We start from the raw sequence: 23,728 nt of genomic DNA on the forward strand, positions 1-23,728 counted from the left end.
GGAGGCTGAAGCAGGAGAATGGTGTGAACCCGGGCGGGGGAGCTTGCCGTCAGCCAAGATCGTGCCAATGCATCCAGCCTGGGTGACAGAGTGAGACTCTGTCTCAAAAAAAAAAAAAAAAAAAAAGCCTTAACTTTTTTACCACCTTTAGAGAAAAACAGAGCTTCTTTCAATTGGAGAATTTTGGTTTCCTTGAATAAATACTAACCTGTGAGAGCCCAGACAACTAAACCTTTTTTTGTGTGTGAAACATAACTTTACCTATAAACTGAACACAGTTGCCCTGTATCTTCGAGGCACCATGATATATATAGTTTAAATCTGATTGTATGACCCCAAATCCCCCTTCTCTCTGTTCTCACACTTCCCTGCTAGTTTTCTACCCTTATAATTTTGCAAAAAGTCAAAAGAAGAAAAAGTACTAAAACTTACACCATTTGATTTTTCTCTTTGCTACTGCTAGTTTGAAAGGGCCCTCTGCATAGCCTGTTTTCACATTTCCTTTGCATTGCTTTATTTTCTTTCACTGTTGGCGTGATGATCTGATTTGAGGAGGTGCCGCCGTGGGCTTTCCTGATAGTAGTTCATCTTTTACAGTTTCTGTCTCTCAGGGTGTGAGTCTCTCTTTGACACTGAACACAGCAGCCATTCCACTGAACTGACTTGCTTCCAAGAGACCATCCTCACTTCACTAAGACAGTAGCTCATTCCTGGAGAGATTTCCTGCCTTGATGGTTTTTAGGCAAATCTTTAGTCCTAGGGAGTTTTATTGAGACCCTGACAGAAGTATTAAGACACAAAAACACATTCACTTGAGACTAGCCTGGGCAGCATAGGGAGACTGTGTCTCTACAACAAATTTAAAAATAAGCTGGGTGTGGTGGGGCATACCTGTAGTCCCAGCTACTTGGGAGGCTGAGGTGGGAGGATCTCTTGATCCTGAGAGGTTGATGCTGCGGTAAGCCATGATTGCACCACTACACTCCAGCCCTGGGTGACAGAGCACGACCCTGTCTTAAAAAAGAAAAAAAAAGAAAAAACCCATTCACCTCCAAAGACGATGCATTCAGATAATGCTTTTCTTTGGAACCATGGGTGGGCTGCTTCAGTAACTCTCTCTGTGGCCTGCTGCTATTAAACACCAGTATTACGTCTTTCAAAAGATACTGCAGAAGAATCACTGGCAACATCATCACCTCTAATTTTTCTCCCCAGGGGTGTTAAGATTTTCTTTCAGAAGGCTAAAAATAGCAGACGTCAAAGAGCAATTTGCCTGGCATATGGATACTTCAGAAATAATTCTTGGCCGGGCGCAGTGGCTCATGCTTGTAATCCCAGCACTTTGGGAGGCCGAGGTGGGCTGATCATGAGATCAGGACTTCAAGACCAGTCTGGCCAACACGGTGAAACTCCATCTCTACTAGAAATAGAAAAATTAGCTGGGTGTGGTGGCAGGTGCCTGTAATCCCAGCTATTTGGGAGGCTGAGGCAGGAGAATCACTTGAACCTGGGAGGCAGAGGTTGCAGTGAGCCGAGATCACGCCCCTGCTCTCCAGCCTGGGTGACAGAGCTAGACTCCCGTCTCAAAAAATAATAATTCTTGAGATATATTATCTTGTAAATATGAAAGCATTCCTTTGGTATTCTTTATTGTCTTAGTATGTATCTCATCATTCTGCTCATTTTATTCTTTTTCCAAGATGGTTTTTTTCTTGATATTTAAGTAAGTGTATTGTCCCCAAGGGTCCCAGTGTGAAAAATGTCTGCTTAGAGATTTCTGTGAGAGACAGACGTGAATTGCTGCTGGAAGTTAGTCGTTTCTTCTTCTGAAAGGCAAAATGTCACTTATGTTCTTGAAAGGAAAACCTCATGGCCGGGCGCAGTGGCTAATGCCTGTAACCTAGCGCTTTAGGAGGCCGAGGTGGGCGGATCACCAGGTCAGGAGATCGAGACCATCCTGGCTAACACGGTGAAACTCCGTCTGTACTAGAAATACAAAAAATTAGCTGGACGTGGTGGCGGGCGCCTGTAGTCCCAGCTACTCGGGAGGCTGAGGCAGGAGAATGGCGTGAACCCAGGAGGCAGAGCTTGTAGTGAGCCGAGATCGCGCCACTGCACTCTAGCCTAGGCGACAGAGTGAGACTCCATCAAAATAAAAAAAAGAAGGAAAACCTCACATATTTCTGTTTCAAAGCTAACACTGAAGCCTTTATTGCTAAAAGTAAACTTTGTGTGTTAAAACGATGAGGTATTTGGTAGACTCAATGAAAAGGTCACATGGATTACTTTGTTTTTTTTTCTTCAGCTAAAGCCAATTCAAATACTTTCAAATCCACTGTCTACATACAATCAGCAACTATGGCTGACATGTGTTGTTGAGTTGGATCAATCAAAAGGTATGGAGCTTGACATTTTGGAATGATTTTTCATTATACGAAGAAACATCGTATTTTAGATGTTGACTTCAGAATATTCAGACAAGCAAGTGCTCAAAGATAGATGTATAAGGATGTCCATTATTATTTATCATAGCAACAAATTGGAAACCCCTTAAATGTCTTCCAGTGGGAGAGAAAGTTGCGATAGATAGACGTCCTCCGTGGAGTCCTGGTTAGCTCCGCTCAGTGGCTGCATGGTGTCGGCGCTACAGCTGCCAGCCTTTTTCAGTGAGGATCTGGGAGAGAATTAAGACCTGATGCCCTAAAATAATGGTTCTGGCCCCCAGGGACACTTGCCAATGTCTTGAGACAATTTCGTCACACACGGAGAGGAGGAGGGAGTGCTCCAGGCATCTAGTGGGTAGAGGGCAGAGGTGCCGACACCTCCCCCACTTTCACAACAAGGAATTATCTGGCCCAAAATGTCAGTGATGCAGAGGCTGAGAAACCCTCCCCTAATGCATCCATTGTTTATGATGAATTAGCTTCTGTCAGTCTACAGTGGCACTAGTTTTGTATCATCCTAGGGAGAATTGAGAAGATAACCAAATCCTTTTCTGTTCTGTGCCTCACATGAGACACTCTGGTTGAGAAAGAATTTGAAAAGATAACCCCATGACCACAGTAAATGAAGTGAAACAAATATATATTACGAAAAAATTATCCCCTCTTTGTAACATTTTAGAAAGCAAAAAATTCATATTACTACGTATTTGTCTAGAAAATGGTCTGGAAGGATAGACATGAAATATGAATTACGATTATCTCTAGGTGAAATTCTCAGTATTTAATGCTATCTTTATATTTTATGATTTTTTTAAAATGAGAATATAATGAGAAAAACCTATAATCAGAAGAAATAAGAAATCTATTTCTATTTTTGGTATAGAATTTGGTAAGTTAAAAATGTATGTGAGAAATTAAAAATATAAGTTCATTAGCCATGAAATATTTACCCTTTTTTTGTGTGTGAAGTGAAACTGATGGGTCTGAAGTGCAGGTTTTGACATAGACCCCCTGGGTGCTGGGTTGGAATCTAATGGAAAGGCTTTTACTTTGCTGGGCAATTAAGAGATTTTCAAATGTGCTGAGGCCAATGTGGCCTAAGGACCTTAAGCGTTTTCCTGGCTCCAAGGTCATTACAGAGCCAGGAAGGCACCTTTGTAGGTGTGATGTGCCTGGCATGGTCTCTAACACTGAATTTTTTTCTTTTGTAGAAACTTCTATTAAGACAAGCTTTCCCATGACTGTTAAAGTCGATGGTGTAGCTCAAGATGGAACCACGATGTACATTCATAACAAAGTTCACAACCGGACAAGGACCCTCACATGTGCAGGGGTGAGTGTGTGGGGTGAGCCCCACAGTCAGTCCTCAGGCTGTGTACACGTTTAATTACAGAGCCACTTTCCAGTCTAAAAGATAGCATGGTAAGAGGCTTCGAGAAATTGTTCTTAAGTGAAAAAAATGGAGTCATACCAAAGATGGCATGAAAAAACTTACTTATTTTTACAGTTGGATACCCTTAAAAATTCTTATAAACGTACACATGCATTCACACATCCGTAAACACACGTGTACGCACATATGCATGCACACACATATACTGCTAGCCACCCTGAGCATACACGGTACTTGTTTTTACTGTGTGTGTGACCTTCTGCCCAGTGTGTCCCTAATGAATGTTATGGGCTGCCTCCTCATACGAACGTCTGCCACAGGCTGTGGTCACTGGGTTTTTTTGTTTTATTTTGTTTAGAGACAGGTTTTTGCTCTGTCAACCAGGCTGGAGTGCAGTGGCACAATCACAGCTCACTGCAGCCTCAAACTCCTGGGCTCAAGCAATTCTCCTGCCTTAACTTCCCAAGTAACTGGGACTGCAAGCGTATGCTACCAGGGCTGACTAATTTTCCATGGTCACTCTTGACTGAGGCTTTGGGTTGTTCCCAGCCGAGTGATGCATGCCCTAATCCGTCTGTGTGAAGCCAAGTACCTGGGCCTCTTGGGCGTCAGGGGCCTACCTTTTTGAGCATCTACTTCAGAGCACAGTGTGGCTAAGGGATAGGAAACCTGGGTCCACAGTGGGGAATGAGCCCTCACGCTTGATTTCATTGGCACTGTATTCTGTTCAGAGTCCAAAGAATCAGAACCAGATCCCTGCTAGAGCGAGGAGTCCACCTCAGGCACAACAGGTTACTGGCAGCGTGGAGAACTTGGAGAGCATCAAAACAGGGCAGTGCATTTTCTTATAGGATTAGGAAAGTAATGTCAGAAGCCAGATGGCAAGTAGTTTCTCTGCTGGGTGTCATGCCAAGTACCGTCCACTCATTGTCTCATTCAGTCCTCATGGCAAGTCCATGAAGTAGAAACTACTGTTAGAGCCTATTTTGTAGAAGAAGAAACTGAGGCTTAGAGAGGTCTAAACCATTGCCCAAGGTAACGCAGATATTAAGTGGAGGGCCCAGGATTTAAACCTGTGCCCTTTTATTCTGAAGCTTGTGGCCTTAACCACCATGGATACTGCCTAGTTACTAGTGATACATATACTGGCACTGTTTTTCCTAGCAAGAAAGAATTCAAGGGCTAGGCGCAGTGGCTCATGCCTGTAATCCCAGCACTTTGGGAGGGTAGGGTGGGAGGATCACGTGGGACTGGCCTCTCATTCTGCTTCCAGGGGATGAGTCAGCTTCCAAAGTGTATTTTCCCCATCTATAAAGTTGGGATCAAGCCTTCCCTGCCTGCCTTAGGAAAGCAGTAAAGATCAAGGTGAATAACGTGTGAGTGTGCCTTATGTGTGCAGCCTGAGGCATCCCTGCGTCCCCCAGTGAGGCCTGTGTGCGGGAGGGGTGCGATCAGTACTGCTGAAGGGATAACAGGTGTGAGTGTCAGACAGGACCATGGCCCAAGAATCTGCTCTCTTCCTATCCGAGCGCCTGGTGGCCACTCCCACCTGGACAGCTTGATGACACCCACCTCTCAGATTGAGGCTCAATGGACCATTAGTCAGGGGTTGCTTATTTGGAGCTGTTGAGACCCATCGTCCTGGTTTGCTTGCACTGAGTGGTTGCTCAGCACACAGGACTTTGTTTTAAAATCGGGACAAGTGGGTTGCCCTACCTAAAGCCTTTGCTTCAAGCAGGGCCAGGCTGCCAGGGTACTGGCTGGTCTGCACTGTTCCTTCTTGGATGTGCCCGCCGTGCTGTGCATCTTGAGAATGGCCCTTCAGCGCATCTTCATGGTTTCTTCCCGCTTCCGTTGTTGGCCCTACCTCATTTTACACTGTGTTACCCCTTGGGAATATCTTGCTTCTGTTCCTTGTCTACGCAGGTCTCTAACCCTGCAAGGAGCATTGCCCTGGCTTTAAAAAACATGGAATTTTTACATTACAGAGATATTTACCACCCTCTTATATTACTTTTTTTTTTTTTAAACACACAGTCTTGCTATGTTGCCCAGGCTGGCTTTGAACTCCTGGGCTCAAGCAATCCTCCTGCTTCAGCCTCCCAAGTAGCTAGGATGACAGGTGTGCACCACCGTGCCTGGCTTCCTTTTTTTTTTTTTTTCTACTGTAAAGAAAAGCCATTGTCTGACTTAGGTAGCAAGGCTTTCCACGCCTTGCAGGTGGGAAAGCTGAGGTACCATCACGTGATTTTCAGAGGTACATCATTGTCAGCAGCAGAACCGTGGTTTGAACTTGGGATGCCGGAACCGCTGGTGTAGTTTTTTTAAACTCGTAAGTATATGCAGCCTGAGATACAGCTCTTTTGTTAATTAAAACATCCCTGAAAAGTGAGACAAATTCTTAAACTCGCAAGAGATGTTTGTCTACCCAGCAAAAATGTATTTACAGATTTTAAGCCATCCCTTCCTGTATAGTCCTTAGCCACCCCTGCCTTTGCGCATCATCCTGTGACCCGACTGCCAGAGGGGAAAGGTGAATTTAGTTTTGTCGAGAAGGTGGACCACACACTTAAAGCCCAGAGGGCAGGCAGCAGATTGCAATGAGAGCTGATCAGGTGGAAAGGAAGCCTTGGCTTCCCTTTCCAATGTGATGAAAATAGCAGATGACCTGTGCTTCCGGCATAGGAGAATGGGAGGTGGGCGGGTGGCCAGCCAGAGGGCTTTTAGCCCCTTTGCAGGGCAGCCCCTCCCTGCGGAGCACTGTGGGCTTCAGTGCAGACCCAGGGCTGCTAGTGGGCTGAAGTGTTTGGTGAGTTGAGATGGTGACCTTGGTGCTGCCTTCAGCCCCCTGCACACTCCCCTCCTCTCTGCTTTCTCCCCCTTGCCTTAGGTCAGCACCCCACTGTGTTAACCCCACTCCTTGTCCGCCTCCCTGACAGTTGCCCTCTTGTCTTTTTGTTTGTTTTTGTTTGTTTGTTTTTGAGACGGAGCTTTGCTCTTGTTGCCCAGGCTGGAGTGCAATGGCGTGATCTTGGCCCACTGCAACCTCCACCTCCCAGGTTCAAGGGATTCTCCTGCCTCAGCCTCCTGAGTAGCTGGGATTACAGGCGCCTGCCACCACACCCGGCTGATTTTTGGTACTTTTAGTGGAGATGGGGTTTCACTATGTTGGCCAAGCTGGTCTTGAACTAGCCTCAAGTGATCCGCCTGCCTTGGCCTCCCAAAGTGCTGGGATTACAGGCGTGAGCCACCACGCCCAGCCACCTTCTTGTCTTTTTTAAGCCTGCTGTGTAAAACCCACACCTGTTTTCTTACCTGACCTCAGACATTCGAGGCTTGACCAGTCATTGGAGCGATGCCCTATTAGAAAGCCAGAGAACCACCCGTTTGCTCTGGGCAGCAGCAGGATGGTGGAGAGTGACATTCCGAAAGGCAGGGCCGGGGCAGAGCTTGCTGGGGAGGAGTGGCTGGCTCTGTGTGCATGGCTGGTGGGTGCACCTCTGTATCCCTGCATGAGGGTTTGTCCTCCCTGCCACTCCGGAAGGGGATAACAAAGCAGAAGAGACCTGGCTTTTAATTCTAAAGGACAAAAGGAAGGGCTCTTGTCAACAGTGGAGCACACGTATCCTCACATCTGCACTTGGTGCTGTGCACACAGCCTTTGCTTTGACTCGGAGTGGAGGGTGGAGAGAGCAGGATGGAGAGGAAAGAGGGCTCCATGTAGAGAGTGACAGGTTAAAAGGAGAGAAAGAAGAATGTGTAATTCACTCTGTTCATTATTATAACAATCGCAAAATTGGGCCAGGGAGGACAAATTAGGCCGCGGCATCTGCATTGACGTGTCTTAGCTTACGTTTCCCCTGTGCTCTAGTGTTATATATTTATGGAAATGTCAGGCTTGCGTTGCACTGTTAACTTTCTTACACGGTGACTTATTTTCAGTCATCCAAAGTAGAAAGATTCTAATTGGTGTAAATCATATATTATGTTTCCAAAAATACCCATTTGGTTCATTCTTTCTAGGAACTGTGTTTGGCTGGCATCTGACTTTCTCTGGGCTTTTGGCGAGTTCCCTGGAGACAATGAGTTCTGCCCATCTGCTGTTGAAACGTGTTACTTCATGGGTTATTTGGCGGGAGCGTGAGTCTCGCTTTCTTTAAAGGCAAATCTTTCTGTGTATTTGCAGAAATGTGCGGAGATTATTGTGGCTCACCTTGGCTACCTGAACTACACTCAGTATACAGTGATAGTGGGATTTGAACACCTGAAGCTCCCCATCAAGGGAATGAACTTCACAGTAAGTATACCAGCTGACTGCACGTTTCCATGGCTCATGTTCTAGTTCCCATTCTTTGTTCAATGATTGAAATACATCTCAGCATCTAAATAATGTTAATTTGGACAGTGGAGGACTTGTAAAGTTTTTAAAAATTATAGGAAAACTACAGTTTCTTAAGTATATAGAACTAAGAATAGCTTAAATATCATAGAGATTGGGCAAACCTTAGGTGTCTGAGATTTAGAATAGAGAGTATATAGTGTGTTCAGCTGCAAGGCAGTGAAGGGGTTAGCAGACACAGCACCCCCTTCTCTGGCCCCTGTGAGTGGTCGTCAGTCTCTGCCCGAACTGCCGGTGAGTGGGAGGGCACTGTTCTAATTGTTAGACTGTCCTTTCTTGTGTCCAGCTGAAATCTCCCCTTTCCACTCATTAGGAGTCAGTATAACCAGCATAGTGATGAGGAGTGGGGGTTTAGACTGGACGGTGAGCTGGGTTCTCACGCTGCCTCCATCATTGACTCACGTGATTTTGTTGAGCCTCAGTTTTCTTATCTGTAAAATAGCTGCCTCATAGAGCTGTGAATATTAAATGAAGATACTAATGGATACCTTCAAAAAAAAAACAGCTTTATCAAAGTAGAAAGTTTGCTTGCCCTTTTAATGAAAGCGTACGTTCAGTGGTTTTTTTTTGTTTTGTTTTGTTTTTGTTTTTGAGACAGAGACTCACTCTGTCACCAGGCTGGAGTGTGGAGTGCAGTGGCACGATCTCGGCTCACTGCAACCTCCGCCTCCCGGGTTCAAGCAATTCTCCTGCCTCAGCCTCCCAAGTAGCTGGGATTACAAGTGTGTGCCACCATGCCCAGCTAATTTTTGTATTTTTAGTAGAGACAGAGTTTCACCATGTTGGCCAGGATGGTCTTGATCTCCTGACCTGGTGATCCGCCCACCTTGGCCTCCCAAAGTGCTGGGATTGCAGGCGTGAGCCACCGCGCCCGGCCCATTCAGTGGTTTTTAGCACAGTCGTGGAGCTGTCCAGTCATTCTGTTCCAGAACATTTTCATTGCCCCTTAAAGAAACCTGTTAGTGATCATTTCCCATTCCCTCCCCCACAGTCCTTGGCAATCACTAACGTTCTCTCTGTCCCCGTGGATTTGCCTGGTCTGGACATTTCGTGTGAATGGAGTCACACAACGTGTGGTCTTCGGTGACTGTCTGCTTTCACTTAGCGTGATGTCTCAAGGTCCATCCAGGTTGTCGCGGGATCAGTACTTCACTCCTTCATTTTGCTAAGTGATATTTTGTTGTATTGCTAGACCACATTTTGTTAATCCCTTCATCAGGTGACAGGCGTTTGGGTTGTTTCCATTTTTTTGGCTGTTGTGAACTACACAAAATGAGTTTTTTTCTCTGTCTACCCTATAGCCCTTTGCAGGCGGCCGTCTCCTCCCCTCTGAGATTGTTCTTTTCTTTCACGTTGTGCTGGGGATGTGACCTCTGCACCCCTCTGGCTCCATGTTTCCTTCCTGAAGCTGCCCCAGTCACCCAGCTGCAGGGGCAGGTGTTGCTGATGTGGAAGGAGCAGGTGGCCCTGGGCTGTGCTGCTGGGACAGCTGAGCCGGCTCTCTCGGGAGCCACGTCACTAGTGGTCTCTTCCTTTCAGCCCTTTGCCTCAGCCAGCCTTTCCAGATCTTTTGGATCTGAATCTGGGGTCTGGTCTTTGCTGTCTGAATGATCTCCTGGATCTTAGTCTTCAGAGAATCCGATTAGTATTCTGCTTGTGTCCTCCATTCATGGTGCAGTGGGGGATTCCAGATGGGGTCTGAGGCAGGTGCACTGAGCTTAGGCATACTTTGATGTAGTCCTTTGTTAATCATCTGTGCTTTAGACTTTGCTATTTCAGAATCATTCTGATTCAACAGTGCAGACAAACAAGGGACCTCTCCCTTTCATCATCTTCTTTATTAGAACATCATCTCCTACAAGCCTTTTATGGTTCTCAGCACCTTTCTCCAGAAGCTGTAGTTCATCCTGACCCTGTTCTATGGGTGTGGGCCGCTGTTTTGTCTTTATGGTTTTTGTCCTTCCATCTTTTGTATCTATGTTTCCTCTTAAAGTTGTTCCTGAAGAATTTGGTACATATGTTAGGTGAACTAGGTACATGCCATTCTGCCATTGCTGATGGAAGGCAAGTGATACAGTGTTACTGTGGGGCTCAAAAAGGAATTGGTTCAAAAGACGTTACCATGGGAACCACTCACCTTGAATTACACCACAGCCAGAGCCTCATTTCTGGTGGCACTCTTCAGCATCTGGAAAGACAGCCCTTGAGACCCTTGGGATTTGTAAGGGATGTCACCAAAGATTTTTCTGCGTTTTTTGTACATTTCGTTTCCCCAGCAGCCAGCATAGGGCCCAGCAGCTGCTAGGCTTGCAATAGATATGTATTGGTTGAATGAAAGAACAGCAGTACAGCACCTTACAAATTTAGAAATTCACGTGGCAACAGACTTCTGAAATTATGTTCATCCTTGCTTTAAACCAAAGATTAGAGAGTTCAAGAATGAATGTCTTTTTTCAACCAATCAATTTTCATAGATTGGGCCGGGGGCAGTAGCTTATGCCTGTAATCCCAGCACTTTGGAAAGTGAATGTAGTAGGATTGCTTGAGCCCAGGAGTTCGAGACCAGCCTGGACAACATAATGAGACCCCATCTTTTTTTTTTTTCTGAAACGGAGTCTCACTGTGTTGCCCAGGCTGGAGTGCAGTGGCGCGATCACGGCTTACTGTAACATCTGCCTCCCGGGTTCAGGCAATTCTCCTGCCTTAGCCTCCCTAGTAGCTGGGATTACAGCTACTAATAGCTGTAGTAGTTCACCACGCCCTGCTAATTTTCATATATTTAGTAGAGATGGGGTTTTACCACGTTGGCCAGGCTAGTTTCAAACTCCTGAACTCAGGTAATCGGCCTAGCTGAGACCCCCATCTCTAAACAAAAGTTTAAAACTTAGCCATGCATGGTGGTGCACACCTGTAGTCCCAGCTACTAGGTAGGCTTAGGCAGGAGGATCACTTGAGCCTGGGAGTTTGAGGCTGCAATGAGCTGTAATCACACCACTGCACACTCCAGCCTGGGTGACAGAGTGAGACCCTGTCTAAAAAAAATGCAAATATTAAAAACAACAAATAAGATAATATCCAGGGTTGGCGAAATGCAAGGACACAAGTTTTCTCATACACATGAGTGGGGGGGTGTGAACTGATTTAACTTTTGGGGTAATTTAGCAATGTATAAAAGCCTCTACTTCCATGTTCTTTTTGACTTAGTAATTCTAATTTTAGAAATTTATACTCAGGAAGTAGAAACATACACAGTGATTTATGTTCAAACCTATTCCTCAGAGTAAGAAGTTGGGAGCGATCTGTATTTCAGCAGTAGATTTCTGGTTAAATAAATTAGTTCTGTAGCTACTAAAATAATAAGTTAATAGGATAGCTAGCACAAACTATATATACTGATTTAAGACAAGAAAAGCACGTGAATTAGAAGTGTTTCTATTATAGAAAACTAGACGTCTAGAAGGCTGTCTCTGGGTGGTGGGATTAATGTTTAATTTCTTCTGTGTTTTCCTTTATTTCCCGTAATGAATGTTTATTATTTTTATTACCTGAAAAGAAAATTATTTGAAAACAAAACAAAAACTCCTGAGGCAACTAATATTTGAAGGGGGAAGTCCTGGGCATATGCCAGTATCCATCCCAGAACCTCAGGTGCTGGCAAGCCCTGCATGCTGTTTCTTCTGGTCTGACTCAGTATCCTCGGAGAATCGCATAATCAACATTGTGCTGGCAGCTTGTAGAGAGATGCACTAAGAAATTAGAGAACTGTATGCAAAGTGTTTGTATGTCTTTTATAAAATTGCTGTTGAAGACATTGTGTTGTGAACTTTAAACCTCCAAATATAATTCTTTTTTTTCCCACATTATTACTATTTTTTAGAGCAATTTTAGTTTCACAGCAAAATTGAGAGGAAGGTACAGAGAGTTCCTAAATGCTCTCTCCGCCCACACATGCACAGCCTCCCCCATTGTCAGCATCTCGCACCAAAGTGGTACATTTGTTACAGTTAATGAACCCACATTGACACACCACCCAGAGCCCACAGTTTACATTAGAATTCCCTCTTGGTGTTGTACATTCTGTAGGATCCACTATTTGTAGTACCGTAGAGTTCATTTCAGTGCCCTGAAAATCCTTTGTGCTTCACCTGTTCATCCCTCCCTCCTCCTCACACCCCTGGCAACCACTTGTCTTTTTACTATTTCCATGGTTTTGCCTTTTTTTTTTTTTTTTTTTTTCTGAGACAGAGTCTGTTGCCCAGGCTGGAGTGCAGTGGTGAGATCTCAGCTCACTGCAACCTCCGCCTCCCAGGTTCAAGTGATTCTCATACCTTAGCCTCCTGGGTAGCTGGGATTACAGGTGCGCACCACTATGCGTGGCTAATTTTTGTATTTTTAGTAGAGACGGGGTTTCACCATGTTGGCCAGGCTGGTCTCGAACTCCTGACCTCTGGTGATCCGCCTGCCTCGGCCTCCGAAAGTGCTGGGATTACATGCGTGAGCCACTGTGCCAGGCCATGGTTTTGCTTTTTCCAGAATGTCATCTAGTTGGAATCATATAGTATGTAATTTTTTCAGATTGACTTATTTCACTAAGTTATATGCATTTTAAGTTTTCTCTATGGCTTGATTGCTCATTTCTTTTTATCATGGAATAATATTTCATTGTCTGGATGTACTGCAGCTTGTTTGTCCATTGGCTGAAGGACAACATCTTGGTTGTTTTTAAGTTTTGACAATTATGAACATAGCTACTATAAACATCTGTATACAAGTTTTTGTGTGGACATAAGTTCTCAACTTCTTTTTTGTTGTTGTTCTTTTGAAATGGAGTTTCATTCTTGTTGCCCAGGCTGAGTGCAATGGCACAATCTCAGCTCACTGCAACCTCTGCCTCCTGGGTTCAAGCGATTCTCCTGCCTCAGCCTCCTGAGTAGCTGGGATTACAGATGCCCATCACCATGCCCGGATACTTTTTGTATTTTTAGTAGAGACGAGGTTTCACCATGTTGCCAGGCTGGTCTCGAACTCCTGACCTCAGGTTATCCAGCCTCTCAAAGTGCTGGGATTACAGGCATGAGCCACCATGCCTGGCCCCTACGTTTTCAACTTCTTTGGGTAAATATCAAAAAGCAAAAACAGAATTTCTTTGGCTATTTGTTATAATGCCTTTTCTTAGAGAGTGAAAGCCATGGGATGCATTGCATTTTTCTCTTGGTACTGGCTGTCAGATATTTCAGAAATCAGTTTTTTGCTGAATTGTACTAATTACTAACATCCTGGTATGGATTTCTGGTATAATTATCTGCATTCTTTCTTCACTATTTTGCCTTTTAAAACACTTTAAAAATTATTTCTATCTAATCTGGCTTTTTATTATAAGCTGCTTTCATTTCTTTTTGGAAGTAAACAAGCTATAATGAATAGATAGACGCTAATGGTATTTTAGTGGTGTTACTGCACACCCACCAGAATGGCAGAAATAAGACAGAATATGCTGAAGCTGGCAAGGATGTGGGGCAGGCAGAGCCCTTGCCCCCTGCTGGGGAGCGTGTAAATTGATACAGCAGTAATGCATACGTATATTGACCAAAAGACTTGTATTTAGATATTCACAGCAGCGCAATTCTTAATAGCCAAACTGTAAACTGTATACTAGCAGCAAAATGAGTGCATAAATTCTGCTATATTCATATAATGGAATACTATATAGCGAGGAGAATGAACCTTCATAGCTTCATGTAATGTCATGGAGGACTTTCTGAAGCATAATGTTGAATGAAATAAGCCAAATACGAAACAGTACGGAGTGTATGATTCCATTTATATAAATTACAAAGACAGGCAAAATGAACCTGTGCTGTTGAATCAGGGTTAGTGTTCCTCTGGGGTAGGTTAGTGGCTGGAAGGGAGCATCAAGCGGGGGGCTTCTGGGGTGCTGGTGATGTTCTGTGTCTTGGTCAGGTACTGTTTATGCAGGTGTGTTCAATTTGTGACGTTCATTGAACTGTAATTTAGGATACTTGTCCAATTCTTTTTATTTATTTTTATTTTTTTTGAGACGGAGTCTTGCTCTGTCACCCTGGCTGGAGTGCAGTGGCGCGATCTCGGCTCACTGCAAGCTCCGCCTCCTGGGTTCATGCCATCCTCCTGCCTCAGCCTCCCGAGTAGCTGGGACTACAGGTGCCCACCACCACGCCTGGCTAATTTTTTGTATTTTTGTAGAGACAGGGTTTCACTGCGTTAGCCAGGATGGTCTTGATCTCCTGACCTCATGATCCGCCCGCCTAGTCTCCCAAAGTGCTGGGATTACCAGTGTGAGCCACTGCGCCTGGCCCAATACCTGTCCAATTCTTTATACACGTTACCTTCAGTAGGAACTTAACGGTATACAGTGCGCCTGATAAATTGGAGCTGCCGCCTGTACGGCCGCACGTTTCTTGAGACAGCTCTTGCTTCTTCAGCAGTGCCGTGTGTGGCTGGCTGTACTGACACAATCAACCTTTGAGGGTTTCTGTTGCTTTTGTTTGGCATTTCCTTGGGAAATCTTAGTTCTGAGTTCTGCATTCCTGGAGTCTGGGCTCCATTTCACCGAGCCTGGTGGTGCCCTTGGCTCTGATAAAAGAGCACCAGAATCACACAGACACCTTCCCCTGGTGCCACTGTTTGTTTCACTAACCAGCTCTTCTTCCTTGTTGATGACAATCAAATTCAGGGTAAAAATGACCCTGATTGCTTCCTGTATTAGTCTGTTTTCATGCTGCTGACAAAGACGTACCCAAGACTGGGAAGAAAAAGGGGTTTAATTGGACATAGAGTTCCACATGGCTGGGGAGGTCTCAGAATCATGGCGAGAGGCGAAAGGCTCTTCTTACATGGGAGCAGCAAGAGAAAATGAGGAAGAAGCAAAAGTGGAAACCCTGATAAACCCATCAGGTCTCGTGAGACTTATTCACTATCAAGAGAATAGCACGGGAAAGGCTGGTCCCCATGATTCGATGACCTCCCCCGGGTCCCTCCCACAACACATGGGAATTCTGGGAGATATAATTCAAGTTGAGATTTGGGTGGGGGCACAGCTAAACCGTATCACTTCCCTAATGTACTGAGAGAAAATTGTCACCCTGCACCCAGCGTGTTCAGATGAGGCTCTGTTTTCAGTGGAAGGTGTCTGTGCTGAGCAGATGTCTAGATGGTCGATGGCCCCTTCCTGCCTGAGCCTGTCATGTGGGCTGTGTCCTCCATCTGGCACTGTTGTTGATGCCGTCTCCCTTTAACTCAAGAAGCTGATTTCTCTCTCCTTTTGTTCTCAACCCCATTTTCCATGAACATTTGGTTCATTTGTTTCTACTTAAATGTTTATCTTTTAAGTAGATAGAATGGTGTCTTAGTCTATGCTTCTGTAACTGTACACCACACACCGGGTAATTTATAAATAATAGAGATTTATTCCTTACAGTTTTGGAGGGCAGGGAAGTCCAGGATCCAGGCACTGGCAGGTTTGGTGTCTGGTGAGGGCTGTTCTCTGCCTTCCAGGATGGTACCTTGTTGCTGTATCCTCTGGAAAGGACACATTCTGTGCCCTCAGTGGAAGGGATGGAAGGACAAAGGAGGCCTCAGCTAGCCCCCCCTTTTTTGAGACAGGGTTTTGCTCTGTCACTCAATCTAGAGTGCAGTGGCACGATCACATCTCGGTGCAGTATCAACCTCCCAGCCTCAAGCGATCCTTCCACCTCAGTCTCCTGAGTAGCTGGAACCAGACAGGCACACACCACCATGCCTGGCTTGGATTTTTTTAATTTTTTATTTTCTAGAGACGGGGTCTCACTGTGTTGCCCAGGCTTGAACTCCTGGGTTCAAGCAGTCCTCCCTCCTTGGCCTCCCAAAGTGTTGGGATTACAGGTGTGAGCCACTGCACCGTGCCCCTCTACCCCTTCTATAAGGTGCAAATCCATTCATGGGGGCAGAGTCCTTATGACTTAATCACTTTACCAAATTCTCCACCTCACAATACCACCATAATGGGGGCTAAGTTTAAACATGAAATTTGGAGGGGACAGATTCCAACTGTAGCAAGTGGTGCTCCTTCTCTGTATCCCTCTTGTATCAGCTCTTACTCTTTGGAATACGTCGTGCCCACACCCGTTGCCACGTTCAGGCCATGAGACCACTCACTAGGTCTCACTGGCACTTGTGGGATGACGCTTACCTCCTGTGTTTTTTAAAAAGTTGGTTTCATCAGCCATGCTCTGCATATGCAGTGACCTTTGACACTACAAAAATCACTTGTACTCACTTTCCTGTTCTTTTCTCCTGAGATTTTGCAGGCACCTTCTCTGGGCACGTCACATGCGTCATCCTCAGCACCCTGAGTCCTCTTGGTTATTCTGCGCATTTTTTCCTCTGATTAAGTGTTTTTCGGGCCGAGTTTTGATTGACACTCTGTGGCCAGCTGTTCACATCTCATTTCCTCCATTTTCTTCTAAGCCATGACCTTTGACTGGGGAGTGAGATGAAAACAGCAACTCACGTCTCAAGTCCTTCAGGCTCCTACCTGAGGCTGCCCTGCAGTTTCCCAGGGAAACTGAGAGGAGTGCGCCTGGCCATACTTTCCTGAGTGTCTCCCAGCTTCTGAGACCTGTGCTTACTGTACTTTCCTGAGTGCTGCCCGGCTTCTCAGACCTGTGCTTGCTACATCGTTGTCATTTCCAACCCCCCAGTATTCCTGGACAGTGCGTTTCATGTTTTTTTTTTTATTTTTATTTTTTTATTTTCATTTTCATTTTTATTTTATTTATTTATTTTTTTTTGAGATGGAGTCTTGCTCTGTTGCGTAGGCTGGAGTGCAGTGGCACAATCTCGGCTCACTGCAAGCTCTGCCTCCCGGGTTCAGGCCATTCTCCTGCCTCAGCTTCCCGAGTAGCTGGGACTACAGGCGCCCGCCATCACGCCCAGATAATTTTTTGTATTTTTAGTAGAGATGGGGTTTCACTGTGGTCTTGATCTCCTGACCTCGTGATCCGCCTGCCTCGGCCTCCCAAAGTGCTGGGATTACAGGCGTGAGCCACCGCACCCGGCCATTTCATGTTGTTTTTAAACATGGGGACCCAGGCTGTGAATCTGAAGCTGGGCCTCCAGTCCAGGCCCTTTGCTTGGTGCTGCACAGGTCGCTGTGACACGTCCCTCCCGCGGTCTGTTTCTGTGGTTGTCCATTCAGAGGACTCTGAGGATGTGAGGAAACGTTTGTTCTGTGCCAAAGAGCCAGTCAGCTCCTGGAGGCCTTTTACTGGTCATATTTTTGTTAAAGTCACTTATTTCGTGCTGCATGGGAATTGACATCACCTGTGCCTGCACGGAGGACAAGGTTGTGCTCAGCAGATGTGGATGGATGGATGGGCGCATGGGAGATTTAATCAGGGAGGAGTGGCCCAGGGTATGGTGTGGGCACTTGTTCCAAAGGTAACTTCGTGGTGTCACAGGGCAAGCCTCGGCTCTGAAAGGACAAAGACAGCAGCTTTGTAATGCCAAAGGGACCTTGACGCAAAAGCTTGAGTGCCGAATGACAGTGCTTCAGATTTCAAAAGGAATGTCTAAGCCGGAGTATTTTCTGGGAACTGTACTCTTTATTTCATTTTACTTATTTTACATTTTAATTTCAAAAATGTATTTTGGGGTTTAAAAATAAACACAGAACAAACAAAACCCCCAAACCCAGTACCCTAGAGTTGGGTCCACACAGTGGACCTGGCAGTGCCCACGGGACGGAACGACCTCTACTTGTGGACGCCTGTGAGGCACTGGCTGGGCTTGCTCCTGTGGACCTTCTGGCCCCAGCTCACGGGATCCAGCGCGCCTGGAGGCCGCTGTGTGTCATGGAGGGGCCAGGGCCCTACTCTCGGGGCTTCCTGCAGCTTGCTTGGGAAAACTCAGCCTTTCAGGCCCTTGGCACAAACGCATGTCAGATTGAGCTGTCAGCTGGGCTGGCCCAGGAGGAGCACGCAGGTGATTCTGCTTGGCTGCTGCTGACAGGGGCGGCCTCCCAGAGAGTCAGAACATGTGGAAATGGCTTTTCCCGGAACCAGGAGGATGGGGACGCATGATAGGAGGAAGGAAGCCCGGATGGAGTGTGATGAAGGCGCCGCGTGCCTCCTGCAGGCCACATAGCAGGTTTGGTGTGCAGGGTCTCATTTGAAAGCTGGACCAAAGCGTGCTCTCAGCTCACATTTTAGAACTAAAATGCATGTTTTAGATTAGCTACATTTATTGAATAAAGCATTGTTTTCTAGTGTTAATTTTTTGTTTTTGAGATGGAGTTTTGCTCTTGTTGCCCAGGCTGGAATGCAGTGCGATCTTGGCTCACTGCAACCGCTGCCTCCTGGGTTCAGGTGATTTCTCCTGCCTCAGGAGTAGCTGGGATTACAGACATGCGCCACCACGTCTCTGTTTTTAGTAGAGACAGGGTTTCTCCATGTTGGTCAGGCTGGTCTCGAACTCCTGACCTCAGGCGATCCACCCGCATCGGCCTCCCGAAGTGCTGGGATTATAGGCGTGAGTCACCGTGCCTGGCCTAGGGTTAATTTTTTTTTTTTTTTTTTTTTTTTTTTTGGAGATGGAATCTTGCTCTGTCGCCCAGGCTAGAGTGCAGTGGTGCAATCTTGGCTCACTGCAACCTCCACCTCCTGGGTTCAAGCACTTCTCCCTGCCTCAGCCTCCCAAGTAGCTGGGATTACAGGCAAGCACCACCACGCCCGGCTAATTTTTGTATTTTTAGTAGAGATGGGGTTTTGCGATGTTGCCCAGGCTGGTCTCAAATTCCTGACCTCAGGTGATCTGCCCACCTCAGCCTTCCAAAGTGCTGAGATTACAGGTGTGAGCCACCGCACCCGGCCCTAGTGGTAATTTTTAATGAGAATGAGTTGATTATTTTCTGTTGCTCTAACAGACTCTTAAGCTAGAATCCCCCTCCTCCAGGGAGTCTGAGATTATTTTCTTTCTTAAGAGTTACGGTTCCTTGAGAGTAAAAACAACCACCCAGCCTTTCAGACCTATTAATTCAGACGTATTTTGTGTTTTTTTCTGATGGTAGCAATTCTTTTTTCTCTTCTTGACTGTGCGTTAGAGTATGTTTGTTCGACTAAGACGTAGTAAACGTTTTTAATCTCAATATTATGTTTATATCAACACTCCCCCCAAATGCTCAAGTCGTTACTTTGATAATTCTATAAATGATATAATGTTATAAAATTTAAATGCTGTAGCAATAATCATAATAGTTATGTGATGTTTTGGGTTTATAGTAGTAACTATTGTTTACTGAACTTTTGCTGTTTGCTGGGCATTGTGCTTAGTTTTTAATACGCATCATCTCATTAAAATGCTATGATAGGCCAGGCATGGTAGCTCACGCCTGTAATCCCAGCACTTTGGGAGGCCAAGGCAGGCAGATCACCTGAGATCAGGAGTTCGGGACCAGCCTGACCAACATAGTGAAACTTTGTCTCTGCTAAAAATCAGAATTAGCCGGGCATGGTGGCACATGCCTGTAATCCCAGCTACTCAGGAGGCTGAAGCAGGAGAATCGCTTGAACCCAGGAGAGGGCCAGGTGCAATGGCTCACACCTGTAATCCCAGCACTTCGGGAGGCTGAGGCAGGTGGATCACAAGGTCAGGAGTTCAAGACCAGCCTGGCCAATATGATGAAGCCCCGTCTCGACTAAAAATACAAAAATTAGCTGAGAGTGGTGGCGTGCACCTGTAGTCCCAGCTGCTTGGGAGGCTGAGGCAGGAGAATCGCTTGAACCTGGGAGACGGAGGTTGCAGTGAGCCGAGATCCCGCCACTGCAGCCCAGCCTGGGTGGCAGAGCAAGACTGTCTCAGAAAAAAAAAAAAAAAAACAAGGCTAAAAGGATACAAAAATTATGTGAAGTAGGTTACTAGCATCCCCATTTTATGGAGGAAAATCTGAAGTTTCTTGAGATTAAGTCATTTGCCCAACTATTAATGGCAGGAGCTGGAATTTGAACCTGAATCACTGTGATCTCCACTTGCCCATTACCATCTATTGTTAGTGGTTGGTTTTTGTTTGGCAGCTTTATTGAGGTATAGTTGACACACAGTGAAACCTGGGAAGCCGTTCCCACAATCAAGATCATAAGCATCCCCTCACCAGCCATCACCCCTAAACATCTTCTTGTGCCCCTTCCTCCTGTCCTTTCCCATCCCTGGGAAGTCACTGATCTGTTATTTGCATTTTTTTGAGAATTTTATGTAACTGGAATTATACAATATGTACTTCTCCAATATGAATTGTTTCACGTAGCATAATTATTTTGAGCTTGATCGATGATGAGTGTGTCCATAGTGATATTCTAGTATAAATGTAACAGAAATTGTTTATTCATTCACCTGTTGATGGACATTTGAATTACTTCCAGTTTGGGGCTGTCACAAAGAAAGCAGCGATGAACATCTGTGTATAAAGCTTTGTGTGGACATATGCTTTCATTTCTCTTGGATAAATGCTAGAAATGGAATGGTTGGGCCATGTGGTTAAGAAACTCACAAACTGTTCTGCAGAGTGGTTGTGTTACTTTATGTTACACCAGTAGCGTGTGAGGGTTTCAGTTACTTCATATCCCGTCAATGCTCGGTACGGTCAGTCTTTTGAATTTTGGCTGTTCTAATCGGTGTATAATGGTATTTAATGGTTTTACATTGCAGTTTTAATTTATGTACTTTTTTTTTTTTGAGATGGGACCTTGCTCTGTCGCCTAGGCTAGAGTGCAGTGAGATGATCATGGCTCACTGACCCTGGCCTCCTGAGTAGCTGTGAATACAGGCGCACGCCACCATGCTGGCTAATTTTTTTATTTTTTATTTTTGTAGAGACAGGATCTTGCTCTGTTGACCAGGCTCACCTCAAACTCCTGGCCTCAAACTAGCCTCCCACCTCAGCCTCCCAAAGTGTTGGGATTACAGGTGTGAGCCACTGCACCTGGCCTAATTTACATACTTTGAAAATGTTGGTCACTGTCTTCCGGCTTGCATTTTTCTGACAAGAAATCTGATGTCCACCTTATCTTTGTCCTTATCTTCGTCTAATGTAATAATGTTCTTCCCTCTCCCCACCCCCTTTTAAGATTTTTCTCTCACGGTGCTTCTTGTACTTTTCCTCGTTTCTTGTGCTTGGCCATTGAGCTTCTTGGATTTGTGAGTTGATAGTTTTCATCAAATCGGAAACATTTTGGCCATTATCTCTTCAAATACTTTTTTTGTCCTTCTGGTCCCCTGACCTCCCAAATTCAGGAACCCCAAATTAGGCCAGTAGGCCAGTGGTCCCCAGCCTTTTTGGCATCGGGGACTGGTTTTGTGGAAGACAATTTTTCCATGGACCAGGGTTGGTTGGGGATGATTTGGGGACGACTCAAGGGCATTTCATTTATCATTAGATTCTCGTAAGGAGCGTGCAGCCTAGATCCCTCGCCTGCACAGTTGACAGCAGGTTCGTGCTTCTGTGAGAATCTAATGCCCTGGCCGACCTGAAGAGCTCAGGCGGTAATGCTCGCTGGCCCACTGCTCATCTGCTGCTGTATGGCCCGGTTGCTGACAGGCCACGTGGCCAGTATTGGTCTGTGGCCTGGGGACCCCTGTATTAGGCCACTTGAAGTTGTCCAAAGCTTCCCGATGCTATGTTGATTTTTTTTCAGGTTTTTTTTTTTTTTTTTTTAGTTTTATTTTAGATAGCTTCTATTGCTGTGCCTTCACATTTACCAATCTCTGTCGTGTCTAATCTGTTGATCATCTTCCAAGTCTTTATTTAACACAAAAATCTTTCATCTAGCTGCTTTATTTCCTTATCTGCTAATTTTGTCATCTGTGATTTCTGGGCCAGTTTTGATTCGTTGTTTTTTTCCTCATATGGTTTGTATTTTCCTGCTTTTTGGTGTGTCTGGTACTTTTGGTTCAATGCCAGACATTATTGATTGCTAGGTTTTATATCTTATAAATATCCCTGAGCTTTGTTCTGGGACGTTGTTAATTTCCTTGGAAATGGTTTGATCTTTTCTGGCCTTGCTTTTCAACATTGCTAGGTGGGGCCAAAGCAGCATGAAGTCTTGAGGCTTATTTTTTCCTAACGCTGAGGCAAAAGCATTCAGCATATGCTACCCAATGCCCTTTGATGGTGAGTTTCTTCTCTGTCTTGTGGGTGCCAGGCACTGGCTTTTTGGGAGGTTCGTTCTCTCTCTGTACAGCTCTCCTTTCCAGCACTCTGTCCTGTGGATTCGGGCCAGCCCTGTCTCCCTGGACTCCCAGCCGTGGCTCTGCCTGGGTTCCCCTCCATGATGTGGGGCCACCAGGGGCACCCCTTGTTGTTTCCCATCAGTCAGAGGTTACTACCCTTCATTGCTTCCTCAGGTCCAGTGTCTTAAATCATCCTTGTGCATGCGTGCATGCGTGTGTGTGTGTGTGTGCGTGATGTTTTAGGTAAATCTGTAACTCTATTTGTACTGAAGTGGATTTTTTAAATTGCTCAGATGACTTTAATTCAATGCATCAGAATGATGGGGCTCTCTGGCCCTGTGAGCACAGTGTTCTGGGGTCTGGTTATGGACCTGGCTCGTGCTTAGGTTGGTGGTGGCTAGCCTCTGCTCTGCTGTCAGCAGCAGTGCCCCTGTCCTCGGCTCCATCAGTGCACACTTGGCACACGTGGGACTGTCCAGTCAGCATGAGAACGGACTCCTTCAACTGCAGCTCACTCTTCTGCTTTCACATTCATACTTAAAGGTTTTACTTAAACTTTGTAACAACATTCTAGTTGCACTTTTACATCTTTTAAAACTTTCTTTTGATGGAAAGTATGACTATTTCTAATAAAGAGATTGACAAGCTTGATTTTTGATGTGAGATATAAGATCCGAATGCTTTTATGATTATAAAATAATTTGTCGGATTTATCCATGTAACAACATTTGAAATTATTTTTCGCTCTTGGTAATTAAGATTTTTTTATGTCTGTGTCCTTTGATAAAAAAGTAAACTGTACTAAATGTTAAAATTTTGGAACATGTAGGATGTTCCAAAATTTTAACCTGCATGGTGGCAGGCACCTGTAATCCCAGCTACTCAGGAGGCTGAGGTAGGAGAAGTGATTGAACCTGGGAGGCGGAGGTTGCAGTGAGCGAAGATTGCGCCACTTCACTCCGGCCTGGGCGATAGAGCGAGACTCCATATCCAAAAAAAAAAAAAAAAAGTGTGTGTGTGTGTGTGTGTGTGTGTGTATGTGTATATATTGTCTCATCTAGAGATAACTATTAGTAATCTGGTGTATTTTCTCTTAGATGCATATATATTTTTTTCAAATTGTTTTCTCCACTTTCTATTTTAGTGGAAGACTTATAACCCTGCCTTCTCCCGGTTGGAAATCTGGTTCCGGTTTTTCTTTGTGGTGCTCACCTTCATCGTCACTGTGAGTACCATTCGCCTGATGGACCGCAG

At 45.3% G+C, this 23,728-nt stretch overlaps 1 protein-coding gene across 18 annotated transcripts in view; it reads left to right on the forward strand.

Annotated features, from left to right (window-relative positions):
- The window catches only part of TMEM181 (transmembrane protein 181), a 98,790-nt gene that overhangs the window by 45,009 nt on the left and 30,053 nt on the right, over window positions 1–23,728 (forward strand). For 10 of the 18 annotated variants that reach the window (NR_164859.1, NM_020823.2, NM_001376855.1 and 7 more), the window contains 4 exons: window positions 2,306–2,396; window positions 3,656–3,777; window positions 8,024–8,134; window positions 23,619–23,699. Coding sequence is in view for 17 of the 18 variants with exons in the window: in NM_020823.2 (NP_065874.2) it covers window positions 2,306–2,396; window positions 3,656–3,777; window positions 8,024–8,134; window positions 23,619–23,699 (405 nt within the window). In the remaining variant the exon portion in view is untranslated. Of the gene's footprint in view, window positions 1–2,305; window positions 2,397–3,655; window positions 3,778–7,999; window positions 8,135–23,618; window positions 23,700–23,728 lie in introns of all 18 variants that reach the window. The other 8 variants (NM_001376817.1, XM_011536000.2, XM_011536003.3 and 5 more) reach the window with 3 other exon arrangements.

This window comes from Homo sapiens, chromosome 6 (assembly GCF_000001405.40).
Source record: "Homo sapiens chromosome 6, GRCh38.p14 Primary Assembly".
In the NCBI taxonomy this organism is placed as follows: Eukaryota; Metazoa; Chordata; class Mammalia; order Primates; family Hominidae; genus Homo; species Homo sapiens.